Source organism: Homo sapiens, chromosome 6, assembly GCF_000001405.40.
Source record: "Homo sapiens chromosome 6, GRCh38.p14 Primary Assembly".
Lineage (NCBI taxonomy): Eukaryota > Metazoa > Chordata > Mammalia > Primates > Hominidae > Homo > Homo sapiens.
Genome location: NC_000006.12, coordinates 38773322 through 38790777, shown reverse-complemented (window position 1 = coordinate 38790777; position 17456 = coordinate 38773322). Strand labels below are relative to the sequence as shown.

Sequence of the window (17456 nt, the reverse complement as noted above, 5' to 3'; positions counted from 1 at the left end):
GATCTCGGCTCACTGCAACCTCCGCTTCCCTGGTTCAAACGATTCTCTTGCCTCAGACTCCCGAGTAGCTGGGATTACAGGTGCCCGCCACCATGTCCAGCTAATTTTTGTATTTTTAGTAGAGACGGGGTTTCACCATGTTGGCCAGGCTGGTCTCAAACTCCTGACCTCGTGATCCATCCGCCTTGGCCTCCCAAAGTGCTGGGATTACAGGTGTGAGCCACTGTGCCCAGCCCAAAACATGATATTTTAAACCTAACGGATGTCCTTTTAGTTAAAAGTCATACCCTTTAAAGAGCTTTCATAATAATCAAACTATTACTTATATCCTGAGTATATATGTTGATAGCTTTTTAAATGTATAGATCATACCTTCTTTAAAAGTTGATTGAACATATCCAAAACTAATTCGACTTCTTGAAAGAAGCTTTCCAGTGTTAAAGACGACCATGTTAACACTGTGAGTCCTTGCCTCAACACAGATTCCACCTAGAAACGGTAAAAACACAACTGCTTCTATTATCAACAGGAGCATCTGCACTTATAGAAGAGGATTTATCACCTACAAATATTATATGTTATATTTTCTTACATGTATTTTCCCTCTATTACACCTAATAAAGATGACTTTTTATTTTTAACCATCTTTGGCTGTCCAGGAAACAATCATGAATTTTCAGAAAAAATGCTCATGATTTAGATTTAGTTGTTTTTTCAAAGGCAACGAAACTTAGACAAGAAATTCTGCAGAAAAAAAAAAAACAGAGCTATAAAATTGAACTAGAAAGATGGAGGGTCTAAAGAAGAATAGATGTTCCAAAATCCATAGTTTATAGAACCGAAATCTAATTTTAAATAACAGGAAAATCAATACAAACCTTCAGCAATACCAACCTTTTTCATTTTTGGGGTCATCAGATTGACAAACACAGAAGGCACTTCCTGACATAACTCATCATAATATTGCAGAAGACCCTGTAGGAAGTTGAAATGGCATGTTTTATTTTAATTCATTTTAAAGTAGCAGTCACATTTTGATTCATTCCAGGAAGGTTTCATAATCCCAGTTTCCTCGTAGTCCTGTCATCATGACAGCTGCCCATTTAAACTTATGCTGATTTACCACACTTTCTCTGTACCTGTAAATTACCTGAGCATCTCCTTTAAACAAGTCAGTAGCAATTTCTACATCTTCATTTTTCATATTTATCACTTGTCTTTCTAGATGTATATTAAGTAGTTTGAATTATTATCTTTTTGTGATATCTGTCATTACACATTTCCTCTTTTGTTCCTTATCTTCTGACACATTAAAACATCCTCATCTTATCACTGATGCCACACTTGCTTTCTCGAGTCAAAATAAATTTAGCTTTTCCACACAAACAGAATAAGCTTTTATGTTATCTCTTAGATGTTGTTTTAGAGATGATCCATGATGATCAATTTTTTACTATTTTGTAATTTACTACACTGTGGTGTGGGAAATGCAGATTCGAGTTACTTTATCTCCAAATTAATAATCTTAAACTGTTTCAAACTGTTTCAATTTTTACCTAATAGTTTCAAAGCTCTTGATTCCTCTTTCCCCTTTATACATTACTTGTAGTTGAAGTTTTATTTCTACTTGACACTGGCTAAAGAACTTTGACTTTCTTGATATTGTTCAATACTAGCTAAAATCTTGCAAGATGTAATGCAAACTATATTAGCTTCGATTTATAACAGTACATTTAAACCTAATCCTCCAAAGTCACAGCTAGCCAGTAAAAAAGCTCATGCATGGCTTTTGATGCCAAATCCAGTTTCCACAATACCAACGTTACTCCAGTTTTTTTCAAAAAAAAGACAATTAAATACTATTTTGGTAAGAGCTAAACTATTAAACTGTTGGAAGACAACACGCCACAAATCTTCATGACTTTGGATTCAAAAAAGGTTTCTTAGCTATGACACCAAAAACACAAAAGACAAAGTAGATAAATTGGACTTCAGCAAAATTTAAAATGTTTGTGCTTCAAAGAACACCATCAAGAAAATGAAAATACAACCCAAAGAATGGGAGAAAAAATTTGCAAATCATATATCTGATAAGGGATAGTATTTAAAACCTAAAATGAACTTTATAACTAAAAAAATAGACAAATACTCAATTTAAAAATGAGCAAAGGATCTGAATAGATGCTGCTGAACGAAAGTATGCAAAAGGTTAGTAAGCATATGAAAAGATGCTCAAAAATCACCAGCCATTAGGGAAATGAAACAAAATCAAAAGGAGATACCACCTCACACTCACCAGGAGGGCTATCATAAAAATGACAAACAATAGGCCGGGCGCAGTGGCTCAGGCCTGTAATCCCAGCACTTTGGGTTGCTGAGGTGGGTGGGTCACAAGGTCAAGAGATCGAGACCATCCTGGCCAACATGGTGAAACCCCGTCTCTACTAAAAATACAAAAATTAGCTGGGCATGGTGGCACACACCTGTAGTCCCAGCTATTCGGGAGGCTGAAGCAGGAGAATCGCTTGAACCCAGGAGGCGGAGGTTGCAGTGAGCTGAGATCATGCCTCTGCACTCCAGCCTGGCAACAGAGCAAGACTCCAACAACAACAAAAAAAAAAACAGGAAAAGTCTGAAATTTATTTATTATATTATTGATTATAAAATTATAAATGTTGTACCACAGGAATAGAGTTCATTTTCTCATTGAATAATCAGCTGTTCCATTAATGTCTGTATAGTTATCTTATAACTCATATTTAATCAGTTCTGTATTGTTGGAGTTAGACTCCAGTCTTTTGCTATTACTAATTGTACTGGAAAAAAAATGTCCTTGCATTTATATATTTTCCTGCATTCCAAAATACATGTCCACAGCCTGCCAAGAAAAGCAAAGAAGAGGAGTTAATGCAGCTTGCTGTTTTAACTGGCTTTCTAAAGAATTTCTCATGTTACTTAACTCTTGTCAAACATTTTAGAAACAATGTGTTAGGATCTGAATATACTTTGATTCGACCTTTGAATCAAAGATTGAATCAATCATCAACCTTTGATGGCACTTTTTTTTTTTTTTTTTTTTTTTGAGATGGAGTCTTACTCTGTCACCCAGGCTGGAGTGCAGTGGAGCAATCTCGGCTCACTGCAACCTCCACCTCCCGGGTTTAGGCAATTCTCCTGCCTCAGCCTCCTAAGTAGCTGGGATTACAAGCGTGCACCACCACACCCAGTTTCGTCATGTTAGCCAGACTGGTCTTGAACTCCTGACCTCAAGTTATCCACCCACCTCGGCCTCCCAAAGTGCTGGGATTACAGGCATGAGCCACTGCACCCGGCAGTACATGTTAATGTCAGTTTTTGCCTACCATTTTCATTTTGTTAGATTTTACTTTGCCGCACTAGTGAACTTTAATTGAAATAATGCTCCTTTTTGCCCCACAATGTTGAGAATCACCTCTACTTGTATTGTATAGTCACCCCACTTTATTAATTTATATCTTATAAATATTCTAGGATAAGTATATTATAAAATTTAATGCACAAGATCTATAAAATTATATTAAGAATAGTTTTTGAAACTTGCTATTTCGTCAGTCATTATCCAGAAACCTAAATCTGATTTCTGATAATCTTCTCACTTTTTGCTTTCCATTTCCAATCTTTTCTTTGGTTTGCAAGTCAGTATTTTAATTCTATCAAGAATCAACATATTAACAAATTTTCCCTCAATGCCATGAAGCATAACTGCAGGGATATATATATATATATACATATTTTTTTTACCAAAAAACTCCTTCAAAAATAATTAGAAAACATAATCTATCTTACCTGCAAATACAGTTTGTCTGCTTTCAATTTACTTTCCAATTTTAGCAATCTCTTTGCCTGTTCTGGTACATCCAACTTCATTTTTATCATACACTTAGTTTCCCGAACAACTTCCAAAATTTTGGGATCGAAATTAACCAGCAACTTCCCTGTTTCTGGATGTCGCACAAAAAGCGTGGCTTGTAAAGCTACAAATAAATAATGATTGACATTACTCATTCTGAATTTCCTTTCTGCTTCCAGCTGTGTTTATATTTCTGTCTTGCCCCCTGGATTACTAACTTCTTGAGGGCAAAGGAAATGTTTTGGATGCCCCAGGTGCTAAGGCACAGCGTCTGGCACATAGTGAATACTCAAAACTAAGATAAATGAATGAAGAGTGTCTGCAAAGCCACAAAATCAGATCCAGGGAGAGAAACATTGACCAAGAATGGTGCTTTGTGCTATGAATTGCAATATTTTTCTGAGTGGGTTGAATAGGTCTATGTCAGTTTATCTTATGGATTATGACTTCACCCCTGAGAAAGAACCAGAAGATGGTTAGAATCACAAAAGATGCCCCACCTCATTTCAAACTCTTTCCCACTCAGACCCCAAACTGTCTTCTTTAAAGAGGCTTATTTAAATTAAATCTCCATCCTGTATTTCTGATAAATAGGCTCAAAATCAGTAAGAAATATTTATTAAATACCATTGAGTTGTGAAATCCTGGAAAGGAGGGAAGATGTTTTACACTACATCTCACATAAACATCATTCATATAAACAAGCATTTTCAGATATCTATTTTATTATGAATTGAAATACATAAGCCCAAGCAGTTCTTACTGGGTAGCCTTAGATTATTTGTTAGCTTAACATGAAGAACTTCTACAGGCATAATAATAAAACACTTATTATAGACAAGCATGTGCTAGTTTGAATTACATCTTGTATTAACAAACACTACTAACATGAGAATTTTATCACAATTACCAAATCTTCCAAACCTCACATTGTTTTGTTGAATGTGGCCACATCAAACTTCTAGTAAAATAAAATAGTTTGTATATCTCTTTGAAGTTAGTTGACTTTTACTCATCAGATAAAATTAGTCTTGATATGGCCCTTAATGATGCAGGTTTTCAAGCTAAATGACAATTTCAACTTAAAATTTTATCCAACTCGCTTAGAATCTTTTTAAGATGGATTAGAAATCACTTATCCTAACAGAAAACCAAGCACTGCATGTTCTCACTCATAAGTGGGAGTTGAACAATGAGAACACATGGACACAGGGAGGGGAACGGCACACACCAGGGCCTGTCGGGGGGTGGGGAGCAAGGGGAGGGAAAGTATTAGGACAAAGTACCTAATGCATGCGGGGCTTAAAATCTAGATGACAGGTGGACAGGTGCAGAAATCCCAGAACTTAAAGTAAAATAAAAATAAATAAATAAATAAATCACTTATCCTACCAAGGAAATTCCAAAAGAACTTTTGAACATTTAAATCTGTCTTCCTTAAAACTGTACTGAGCTTGCTTGAAAAGACAAAAAGGTCAAGACAACTAAAACAGACCAATAATGACAGTCAGGAAGTCTGCTCCAGGACAAGACAAGCATTTCATCGTATGTGAACCACCATCAGAGAAACTTTACTGAGCAACCAACTAAAGGAGGCTGATGCTACATATCCAATTATTACTAGAAGCTCCTATGTGGCCAAGTACAGTCACATCACTAGGACAAAGGAAGCCTTCCAGAGCAATTCATTTCTGAAATGAAATGAAAGAAGTTAAAGAATTCTACTGACTGTTTGTTTTACTTGTGAAAAAACACGAAAGAATTCTACTTCATATTGAAAGTATGAAAGAATTCTACTTCATATTGTTTGTATGTGATCACTTCTCCTGGACATCAATCCACTGCAATGAGTATAGTGCACCCAATAGAGGCCAACTGATGTTCTCAAGGGGAACAAACTCTTCTGAAAACTTGATAAAATTATTACTCATCAAGATTGTCTAATGTCTACTTATTGGACATTTTTAAAATATTTTAAGAGCCCCCAAGCATGCCTGGCATCATTCTTGACACTGTTAGAAACAGTACAGTATTTTAAATGGTTAAGAGAACGGATTTGGAAGCCAGACTATCTGAATTTGAATGAGCTGTGTGATCTTGGGCAAGCCACTTAATGTGTCAGTGTCTCAGTTTTCTCATCTGTAAAACAAGGCTAATAATAGTTCCTTGTAGGTTTGCTGTTAGGATTAAAGTAATTTGCATAATACATGTAATGTGCTGAGACAAAGCCTGGCACATGGTGAGCACTGTATAAATGTTAGCTATGACCATTTTTTAAAGGATATCAGATGAAACAGACATAGAGGGTAACCTTGGAAGGTGTAGGGGACACAAGGTAGATCTATAAAGCAGTAAGTGTCCTGAGAAAGAGCTACAGATAAAGTATATGGTGGGCTCTGGAGGAATTATTATTTTCTGCCAGGAAGAATAAGGAAAGGCTGTATGAAACAGGTGACTGTAGAGCTTGTTTTTGAATATGTGCAGATAAGAGAAAGGGTATTGGGGGTAGAAAAACCACCAGGAGAAAAAGAAAATTAAGTGCGCGGCATTGTAGAACCAAAACAAAACCAGTATATGCTTCAGTTGTTAAAAATTCTCTTTTGCCTTTTTCCATAGTCTGAGTTTTAAGCTCCTCTCGAAGCTCCTTTGAGAGTTCTGCTCCATAAACAGGCTTTCTTTAGAGTCCACAGGGTCCTACCATATAGCACAGCACCCAGAAACAGCTGGCCTGATAAAAGTGGCTTATTAAAGGCTTACCTACGGTTCCTGTTAGGGACGACACCCTGCGGGGGTTGGGGCACTGTCCTCTAGGATGCAGGTATGCTGTGAATCAATGGCCTGTAAATAAGTGCTGTGTCCCCACACAGCTAAAATACATGAGTTCTGGAACCAAGAGGCAGAAGTAGGAGTGACTCCTCTCACCACCGTTCCAGCAACCCACCTGCAGAACTTGTGCTTCCTGCGCCTGCAATGCTGTGCTCTGCTGAGGTGGAGACGCTGGTTTGGGAGGGAGAAACCTTTCTACCAAGGGACCCAGTAAGGGGTCCACCAAGGTCACGTATAAGAGTTTAGGGTTGAGATTATAACTAAGAGTTTAAGGTTAAGATGAGACAAAGCAGGAATCTGAACTGACCAACCATTGAGCCCACACAAAAACAACATCCAGGAGGGCTGGATAATGGCTAAGAACCATCCCGTCTCACATTTAACTCCGCCCAAAGCCTTGGCAACACATAAGCCCTCCCCTCAGAGGCACGCAGACACAGTGCACTAAAACGCTTCATTTACTGGAGCTCAAACCTGAAATTAAATTCAGTAATAAAAAAGGGAGAAAGTAAAGGAGAGACACAGGAAGGAAGGGAAGCAGGGAGAGAGGAAAGAAGGCAGGATGCAATTTTTTCTCTCCAGAATGGGACTGAGATTTGAATCTATATCATGATACAACTGAATATGAACACTTTCATAAAGTCTGGAGAAATATCCCTAAAGATATTTTTACTTTCAAATACTGGTTTTTGGTAGAAAGTCCTAAGTTAAGTATGTCATCTTCAAGGTCATGATCATTTTCACTTATAAAATCAGAATATTATTAACAACTGTAAACAAATAAACCACTGTAGCATCCCTAAATCTAAATTGTAACTATCCTAAGATTATGTGGAAGGGATGGAAAAAGTTCTCCAGAACTATGAACTCATTCAAAATCACCTAATCCCTACTTTGTAGGCTCATGGCAGTGTTATACACACCGTAATGCAACTGTGAAATCTCTCTGATCCAGGCTGTGTGATAGACCACCTCGAATTCCACCAGCACATAGGAGATCTTGTTATACTGACGGATGACAGCTTTACCGTCCGGACTTGATAAAATGTCTGAGTTTTTCTGTTTTTTTAAGGGAAAAGATTTACTTTAAAAGACTGCTGAATGTTTTTATATCCAAATAATGAAAGTACTTATATGTAAAATGATATCAAATAATTATGCTACCAGTTTAGATTCTGCCTCACAGTAAAACAGAGATGGGGAAGGCCATATCAGCAAGAAGCAGAAGTAGGGAAACGTTATCAGTATATAGAGGGAAGACTGGAAAAGGAAACAAAGGGTTTAGAAAGAGAGAGGCCTCCAGCCCCACAGCCTGCCCCAGGCATTCAGTGTCTCTACCTCCTTTTCTGATCCCATCCCACTGTTCTGGACAAGATATAATTGACTGATGTTCCTTGAACCATGAATAACAGGGCAAATTCCTAAATTCCAGCACGCAAAAAAAGGTAACCATGTATCAAACGATAAAAATAAAATTTCTTGGCCGGGTGCCGTAGCTCACGCCTGTAATCCCAGCACTTTGGGAGGCCAAGGCAGGTGGATTACCTGAAGTCAGGAGTTGGAGACCTGCCTCGCCAACATAGTGAAACGCTGTCTCTCTAAAAATACAAAAAAATTAGCCAGGCATGGTAGTGGGTGCCTGTAATCCCAGCTACTCCAGAGGCTGAGGCAGGAGAATTGCTTGAACCCAGGATGCGGAGGTTGCAGTGAGCCGAGACTGCGCCACTGCACTCCAGCCTGGGCGAGAGAGCAAAACTCCATAATAAATAAATAAATAAATAAATATTTAAAAAATAAATAAAATTTCTTTATTTAAAAATCAAAAGATTTAGGTTTCGATTCACATGTCAAACAGGGCAATCTCTGCCCTCTCACCACAAAGTCAATCAGCAACTGAGTCCCCCGAGTAGGGACTCAGGGTTTTAATTTTTTTTTGATATTCAGAACAATGACACAAATGATGGCAGCAAAAGAGAAACAACAGAATCTTCATATTTAATAATGCTGAAATAATACAATTACTTGCAAAACTACTGTTTTGTAGTTATATTGTTCTATATTTCAGCAAAGGGCACGAGATCAAGCAAACCAACTCCACCTTGTGACTCTGTCTCTTAAATAAAATTTAAGAAAATAATAAGGACAAAGAAAAGACAAACTGGCAATTTCAGAATGCCAACAGGGCCCAAGACTGTCCTGTTTTTCAGAAATCTAATAATCTGAAGGACATAGAGAATGAATCAACTGTATTATATTCCGCTCTCAGTGGCAGTTCTTCATACAGGAATACACTCTTTGGCTTTATCTTCACCTTCACTGAGTATGTATCAGTGACCTATCTGCCCATACACAGAAGTAAGCTTCTGTGCTAGGCCTGTACTTTATTGTTTTCAAATTTTTTATTTTTACTTTTTAAAAGGCTTTACAAAGTGTCCTGTGTTATTAAAAGACATAAAATTATAAGATTCACTGACTTTGAGATAACTGTAATTAGACTGGCTTATCTACTAAACCTGAAGGAATTGACTTTGTCTCTCTCAAGTATATTTATAAACTAAATTTTCCTTGCCTGGTAAAAGAATTGGCTCGTTGTTGGCTACTTTAATGCACACAAATATTATAGGATATGATATATTTGTTATATTAAAACCACCAAAATCCACATATTAAAATTTAATTCTTGGCTTACAAAGAAATAATTGATGGGCTCACTTATCCGGCGATAGAGCTGCCTCACCCAGAGTATTTTTCCTGCTATAGGGGGCATGTTGCGAGCAAGAGGGGGGTCATCTTTCTGAGAATGATAAAGCTGTAATTAAAAATCTGATGTTAATGTTTGAATTCAATACAAGGGAGAAGGCAAAAAATATATACAGCTATATTTGTATTGTTTTATCATTATTCATGTTTTATATACAGTAGGTAGTCAATAAATATGTAAATGCACATCCAAGGTAACCTGAGATTTTGAAACAATGATGTTGACCATATACGACACTTAATTTTCTCTTCACCTTTATTTCCTATTACATGTATTTTTTTTCTGCCCTTATCCCAAATTTCAAGGAGGTATTCAAACGGAGCACATAGCTACATATTAATATCTGTCATAATAGTATCTAGAGCCCATATTTCTATAGGCAAAAATACTAACTTAAACGGGCTTTGCTATACACACACCAGAAAACGGGGGCAATATGATAGTTTTTTTTTAACTTTTATTTTAAGTTCAGGGTTACATGTTTGTTTGTTTGTTTGTTATATAGGTAAACTCGTGTCATGAGGATTAGTTGTACAGATTTTTTCATCACCCAGGTGTTAAGCTTAGTGTCCATTAGTTGCTTTTCCTGATCCTCTCCCTTCTCCCACCCTCCAGTAGGCCCCAGTGTCTACTGTTCCCTTCTTTGTGTCCATGTGTACTCAATGTTTAGCTCCCACTTATAAGTGAGAACATGTGGTATTCGGTTTTCTGTTCCTGCACTAGTTGGCTTAGGATAATAGCCTCTAGCTTCGTCCATGTTCCTGCAAAGGACATGATCTCATTCATTTTTTTTTTGGATGCATAACATTCCATGGTGTATCTACCACCTTTTCTTTACCCAGTCTACCATTGATGGGCATTTGGGTTGATTCCATATCTCTGCTATTGTGAATAGTGCTGCAATGAACATATGCGTGCATGTGTCTTTATGACAGAATGATTTGTATTCCTTTGGGTACATACTCAGCAATGACAAAAACAAACAATGAGAAAAGGACTTCCTACTCAATAAATAATGGTGGGATAACTGGTAAGATCACAGCAAAGAGGAGTAAATCTGGCTGTCCAGCAATATACACTGTCAAGCACCTTCCCACACAGAAGGGAGCGTCAATGCTCCTTAGCAGAGAAAGAATCACTCTGAAAAGCTTGGCATGAGACAATGATGGCAAATATTTTCAGATTTTTTTTCTTTTTGTGCTAATGTACCATTTTATTTATAAACATGACACTTGCCTTCTTAGTAGCATCAAGTTCAGCCACATAGTACTGAAGAATACGCTCTATTGTGTGGTTTATTTCTAATCCCAGACAGGGAATGTTCAGCTTCTGAAACCTAAAAGTAATCAAAGCTGAATGGTTAAAAAGTAAATGAGAAATATACTTAAGACTTGCTGTCATACTAACCATCCATTCATTCATTTGACAAATATTCATACCAGCCCTCATTCGTTGTCCTAGGACAAAGCAATGAACGAGATAGGAGGTACAGTCCTGGTTCTCTTGGAACCCACAATTATCTTATGGAAAAGACAGACATCTGCCAAGAGTAACAAAAATAATTATTTAAATTACAAATGGGTCAGAAATGCCTATAACTAAGAGAGACCTAGACAAGTCTGGGGATTCAAGTAAGACACCCTGAGAAAATGACAAACAGATTACAAGATGAGTGAGGAGATGGCTTAGCAAAGATGGAAGAGAACACATTGACTCTCCCTCTGCCAGTGTTAATTCCATATAATTCCATATAACCATTTAACCATAATCACAAAAACAACTTTGTCAGCTAAATGTCACTTCCATTCAGAGACTGAATGACACACAGGAAATACTAAAAACTACAACATTCTGGTAATAAAATGAATTGACATCAGCATACTACAGGTAAAAAGAGAGAGAGAGAGACAGAAAGAGAGAGACAGAGAGAAATAGAGAGACAGAGACAGAAGTCGCCAAGAAAATGGTACCTGCCATCTGTGCAGTACTGTCACATGTCAAAATTATGTTATTTCTGTTTTGACTTTTTTTACAATGGTCTCACCAGGTCTCCATCATTACAGCCGTGGAACCATGCAAAGCCAGACCCAACACTAGATCCGCTGGCTCTCAGGGAAGAGTTCCACAAGCGTCCCTGACACAGGTCTTGAGCCCTCCCTGTGCTGAAAGGGAAAGGCTTCTAGTCCCGCTCAGCCCTCTAATCTGGGATTCCTCGCCCTTTGAGAGAGTAGTGCTGTTAGGATAGAGGGAAAGGAAGCTAAAGGAGAGAAGATTTCAGCTGTTCATACCACAAAAAAATGTGGGGGACAGATAACTCGGTGAGATGATGAATGTGTTATCTGGCTTGGTTGTAGCAACCATTTCACTACATATTTAAAAATATCATGTTATACACCTTAAGTATACACAATTTCTTTTAAGGTGCAGGAGCCCTCAGGAGGGAAAATGGAAAGTTTTGGAATCTATTATTCTTAGATAATCTCACTTTCAGAAATTCTTTCAGTATGTAGAAGTAAACATTATTTGTTCCCTTTCCAACAATACCTATAAAATTAACCCCAAACATATGACATGGCTGGGGGCAGGGAGGGGAAACATGAGAAATAATTTCATTTTCTTGTTGAAAGACTTTCTGCTACCAAAACAATGCAATTAGAACATATCATTCTTTATTTCAAATCTTTACCAGTCTATTTAGTGGTAATTGAAAAGTTTATGTTTGTAAGTTTTAAGGTTTATGTAGGACAGATTTCCAACAACATCCTAATTTGAAATTGTATTTTTAGATTTAAAGTTATTCCCCCCAGAAACTACTCTGCTTAAAGTGTTATGAATACCTTTGAAGTAGCTGAAGAGCCTGCTGAGAAGATAAGATTTTCCCAAAACTACTGTTCATAAATGCCTGTATTTGTACCTAAAATAAAATATTAATATTTAAATGATTTTTGGTGTTAAAGAGATTGGTTTTGTTTAACAACAGTTAATGCTTTTCCTACAGAATTAAGATAGCCTCAAGCCTCAAACACATCTACCATCTAAGCATCAAGAACTGCATCGTCCAGTATGATGGACTTTGGCCACATGTGGCTACTGAGCACTTGAAATGTCACTACTTAGAAGCAAGATGTCTATAAATGTAAAATACATGCCAGATTTCAAAGACTTAGTACAAAAAAGAGAATGCAATATATCTCATTAAAGATTTCATATTAATGACATTAAAATATTTAACATATTGGGTTGAATAGAGTCTTTATTAAAATTAATTTCACCTGCTTCTTTTTACTTTTATTCAATGGCTACTAGAAAAATTAAAGTGACATGTGGTTTGCCTTTGCAGGTCATTACCAATTGGATATTTCTGATCTAGAGAATTTACAAAAGGAGTGAAGGTCCCTTACAAGCATTTTTCTTTGGGATATATAGAACTTCAGGTAGAGTAGTGTAGTGACGCTATAGACACCAGGGCCAGCAGATGTCATTTTCTGACATTGCTGCTCTCAGAAACCTCTTTGCCACTGCTAAGGACGTACAAGAAGTAGAAAATGTTCTTTCAAGAGTCCCACCATTGGCCCAGAGTGGTGGCTCATGCCTGTAATCTCAGCCTTTTGTGGGGGGAGATGGGAGGATAGCTTGAGGACAGCAGTTCAAGACCAGCTTGGGCAACATAGCAAGAACCCGTCTCTATAAAAATAAAAATAAATAAATATTCCCACCATCCCTAACAGTGAACTCCAAACTCCCGGTACCCAAAAGATGGAACTGAACCATTCTTTGCAAATTATTTGTATGTATAGATCATATTGGTATGGTCTATTAATATATACCACACCCATAAATCAAACATTGGAAAACGAAGAAAAATTAAAATTAAAACACTGATGCCTCAAGTAAATTATTTAACTATTAAAAGGTTAATATTGCTGTAATTTACTGAAAGCTAAAATTTGAATCTAAGTCCACAATAAAGCCTTTATAACATATAATCTTTCTTAATAAATCATAAAAATAATTTAAGAGATAACAAGTTTTTCAAAAATTCCCATTGCCATAAAGATTTAACTTTCGAAGCATTTTGGAAGTAAACTCCACCCTACCTAACCAGCCAAACACTAAAAGTAATAATTAAAATATAATATATCTTCATATCAAAGAGTCTAAGTTTCAAAAACTGAAAGGAAATCTATGCCAAAACACAAAAAGTGTTATCGTTAGAATGGTAGAATTTTAGGATCTTTCTTATGTATTTATATTGCCCAGGTTACGTGTAATGTAGTTTTTAAAGAATTTTTTAAATACTTGAGAAAAACATCTGATTTTTCTCACTTTCATGGCAAGGATATCAGACTTAAAAAGTGTACAAAGTATATTCTTCTCCCTGCTTGTGTCTCCAGGAAATTCTGCAGCAAGAGGAAACCATTCCCTTGGGCTAAACGTAGGTTAACAGTAGTTTCAGTTAACAGTAGAGAGTAACTGAGGTCATATAGCCCAAAAGGTGAGAGAAAAACATCTTACAGTCTCATCTGACATACTTTCTGACTACCCTTCATCCATCTGGTGTCTCTTAATCTATGACACACAGGATATGAATGCCTCTTCAGAGCTGCCCTCTATAGCTGCAGAGAGAATGCAGGCATAAAGCATAAGGCCACAGGAAGAGTGATCCATCTTCCTAATCTGTTCTCAAATCTCATCACACTTGATAAAGAATAATGTTTACAAATGCTCTCTTGTGCTCCTAGGCACAAGAAGCAAATACAAATTTTAATGTATATTAAAAATGAGGCTGGGTGCAGTGGCTCATGCCTGTAATCTCAGCACTTTGGGAGGCCGAGGTGGGTGAATCACCTGAAGTCAGGAGTTCAAGACCAGCCTGGCCAACATGGCGAAACCCTGTCTCTACTAAAAATACAAAAATTAACCAGGCGTGGTGGCACACACCTGTAATCCCAGTTACTTGGGAGGCTGGGGCAGGAGAATCACTTGAACTCGGGAGGTGGAGGTTGCAGTGAACCAAGATCGCTCCACTGCACTCTAGCCCGGGCAATGGAGTGAGACTCCATCTCACAAAAAAAAAAAAAAAAGAATCCTAGCTATAAAAGCCCTTTGGGCTTCTAGTTACTCTCTGATGTCTTTTATTGGATATGCTCACTATTCATTCAAAAAAAAATCCTTTAGTGGAGTAGTTTAAAAGTTACTCACACTGCAAATATGTTTGGTCAATGTGAAAGAGGAACTTAAATCATAAATATAGAAACACTTACTACATGTGAATATTTACAAAAAGTACCAGATAGTACTACTGACTACTTTTCAGCTTTACTAAGTAAAAGTAGGTATAATTACTTACCTCTAAACCATTGATTTTTGTCATGAAATCTAAGAAATCTGTGTCAAATTCTGTCCTTCTTGGATCCAGAATGTCATATTGCTTTTTCTTAACCCCTTGGTATATATTTCTGAATTTTATTGCCATAATATCTATTCCTTCTATGGTAGAATTACTCAAGGTTGAATATGTTTGCACAACAGTTATCATTTCTGTAATCTTAAAAAGAGAAATGTTATTTTGCTTTTTTAAATGAGATAGCAGGCAACTTCCCTAAAATAAGCTCTTAATGAATCATTGATATAAAACACAAACCATTAAACAGGGCCTAGAATAATTTCGCTAAAACCAACCAGAGGAGATAAAACAGAAGACAAATCTCTGTCACCCGTCATTCTTACTCTTAGACTAAGACAGAAGATGTTCTATCATATCCAGAGAGAGTTCACAACCTTTTTCAGAGTTCAATCAGCTTGTCTTTCAAGGGTGGCGGGGAGCTTGACTAAATAGCTTCATCCTGTGGTCTCTTGAGGATTTTCTGAAAATCATTTCACTGGATTACTGGACTCAAAAGCTCCACCATGCTGTTTGGCCCTCACTATAGTTCTGACAATTAACATTAGCACATATCCGCCTGTGTTCTGGTAAAAGACTGGTCCAAGAAGCTTGAATAATGGCAGCAATCATTCCTGACCCCTGATGAGACCTGGGAAACCCTCACAGTGGACTTCATTTCAGAAATGGCTGTCTTTGTCTCAACCTGACACCACCTACTTCACCAAAACAAACAAACAAAAAATTCATGTCCACAGGCTACTCCTTCCTTACGCTTCCCCATTTTGACTTCTGCTTTAGAGAACAATGCTCAATGCTCTCCAGGGCTGGTCCAATGGCCAGAAAGGGAATAAACCTATTTTCAGAGAATCTTCCAAATACCACACACACCATGAAGACACCACCACTGATCCTCCTACATAGCCAGCAGAATTCATATGAATCCCTGTGTATGGCCACCCAGAAGGACTATTTTCAAAGCAACTGTTGCTCTTACTCCACTATTTCCATACACTTCCAAAAACCATTATCATCCTAGAAGCCACTCCAAACATGGAGGAAATACAGGCCACTGGGATTTACAGCATGCTGCGCATGCTCTATATAAACACAGGAACTATCTGGGTCTCCTCCTAACACATATACTCCACTCACCTACTTTAAAGAGCAAAAGCAAACTACTACTGGCTTGCTCTGTTATTCTAACCTGCTAAGACTGTTTCCTTTACCCCTTACCTCATTACTCTACCACCTGGCTCCAACAGCCAGAGACTAGGACAAAATTCCTGTCACTAACATGTCCTCTATTTTGTTGATTGGTTGGATGAGGGGTCATCTGAGGCAGACATGGTGGTCAGTCCCATGCTTGCCCTTCAAACTTAGCCAGTGTACCCTCTGTCCCCATACCACACAGAGCAACATAAAGCCAGCTGTGGGAATCAACCAAGACCATGCTCCTGCTAGTTTGTCCTGGCCCTGGCTTTTTCAACATCTCTCTATCAATGTTCAATCTCTCAGTACTCACCACCAATGCAGAGTCTCTCCTCCGGCTCACCAACCTTGCACCCTTTCCAGTTCTCGACTTGCTGTGATTCCCTCATCTCAGCATCACCATGAGTGGAGACCCTACCTCACCTACTAGCTCCAGATCCTCAAATCTCCCCCAGCAATACCAGCTCTCCACCTTTTCTCTTCTCTCCCACAAATGTTCAGGGTGAGAAGAAAACAAAACTGAAGATAGAGCTCTGGGAAACACCAATATTCACCAAAATTTACATGGCAGGAAGAGGAAGAAGCAAAGACTGTTGCACACATTTCGTTCTTGCTATTTAGGATTCAGTGCACCATCAAGTCTATACCTGCCATAAAAAGATGTGTTTCAGGCATCCTAACACTGACACACTAGAGCCTTCTTCACTTACTCCTCGAAGGGCCCCAACATATCTGTCTAACTCTGAAATCTCAGCTCTCCAACCCCAACATCAGTCTTGTCTGCCCTTCGACTTTGCCACTTGGTCATTCCAACTTCGAATCTCGGCCTTCCCTAATAGGCTCTTAGTGCACACTTGTGGCTCTCCTCTTCATCTATGCAAGAGTTCACAAGGGTAGTCAAACAGTTGCCCCTTCCGTACCCCACTCATCAGAGGAAGCCCACCTGGGCAGCTCAGTAACCACCTCTTGTGGATTATGTAAAATCCTGGACATACTTCAGGGTTAAGTTCGCCAGCCCCACCTTTGAGAGTCTGGACACCAATATCCACCAATTATCCAATGGGAAAGATGCCGGTCTGTCGTTCTTAGCACAGAGGAGCTGGGATAACCTAGCAATCAGGATGCATTTCAGGTAAGGCCTCTAGGGGGTGCTACCTTAGCTCTGGTTGCTGAGCACTTGTGGCTTGAAGTTGTATTCTTCAAACTAGAGGCAGGGCTTCTCCAGAGACCAGAGTGGGTGCAGCTGATGCAGCTGGTCATTACAGACCACTTCCTCTAGCATCAGAGGAATTCCTGGGCTGCTATTTCACAGATGGATGACCATTCTACTCAGCATTAGACCCACCCCCAAAGATCTTTACCACTAATAAGGTTTAGTCCTGAAA

The 17456-nt window shown here is 38.1% G+C and overlaps 1 protein-coding gene across 10 annotated transcripts in view; it reads right to left on the bottom strand.

The window, feature by feature from the left end:
* The window catches only part of DNAH8 (dynein axonemal heavy chain 8), a 315482-nt gene that overhangs the window by 240015 nt on the left and 58011 nt on the right, over positions 1-17456 (bottom strand). For all 10 annotated transcript variants that reach the window (XR_926078.3, NM_001206927.2, XM_011514319.3 and 7 more), the window contains 8 exons: positions 14827-15024; positions 12314-12390; positions 10713-10812; positions 9405-9524; positions 7639-7774; positions 3826-4013; positions 895-975; positions 373-489 (listed from right to left, as the gene is read on the bottom strand). Coding sequence is in view for 9 of the 10 variants with exons in the window: in NM_001206927.2 (NP_001193856.1) it covers positions 373-489; positions 895-975; positions 3826-4013; positions 7639-7774; positions 9405-9524; positions 10713-10812; positions 12314-12390; positions 14827-15024 (1017 nt within the window). In the remaining variant the exon portion in view is untranslated. The remainder of the gene's footprint in view (positions 1-372; positions 490-894; positions 976-3825; positions 4014-7638; positions 7775-9404; positions 9525-10712; positions 10813-12313; positions 12391-14826; positions 15025-17456) is intronic.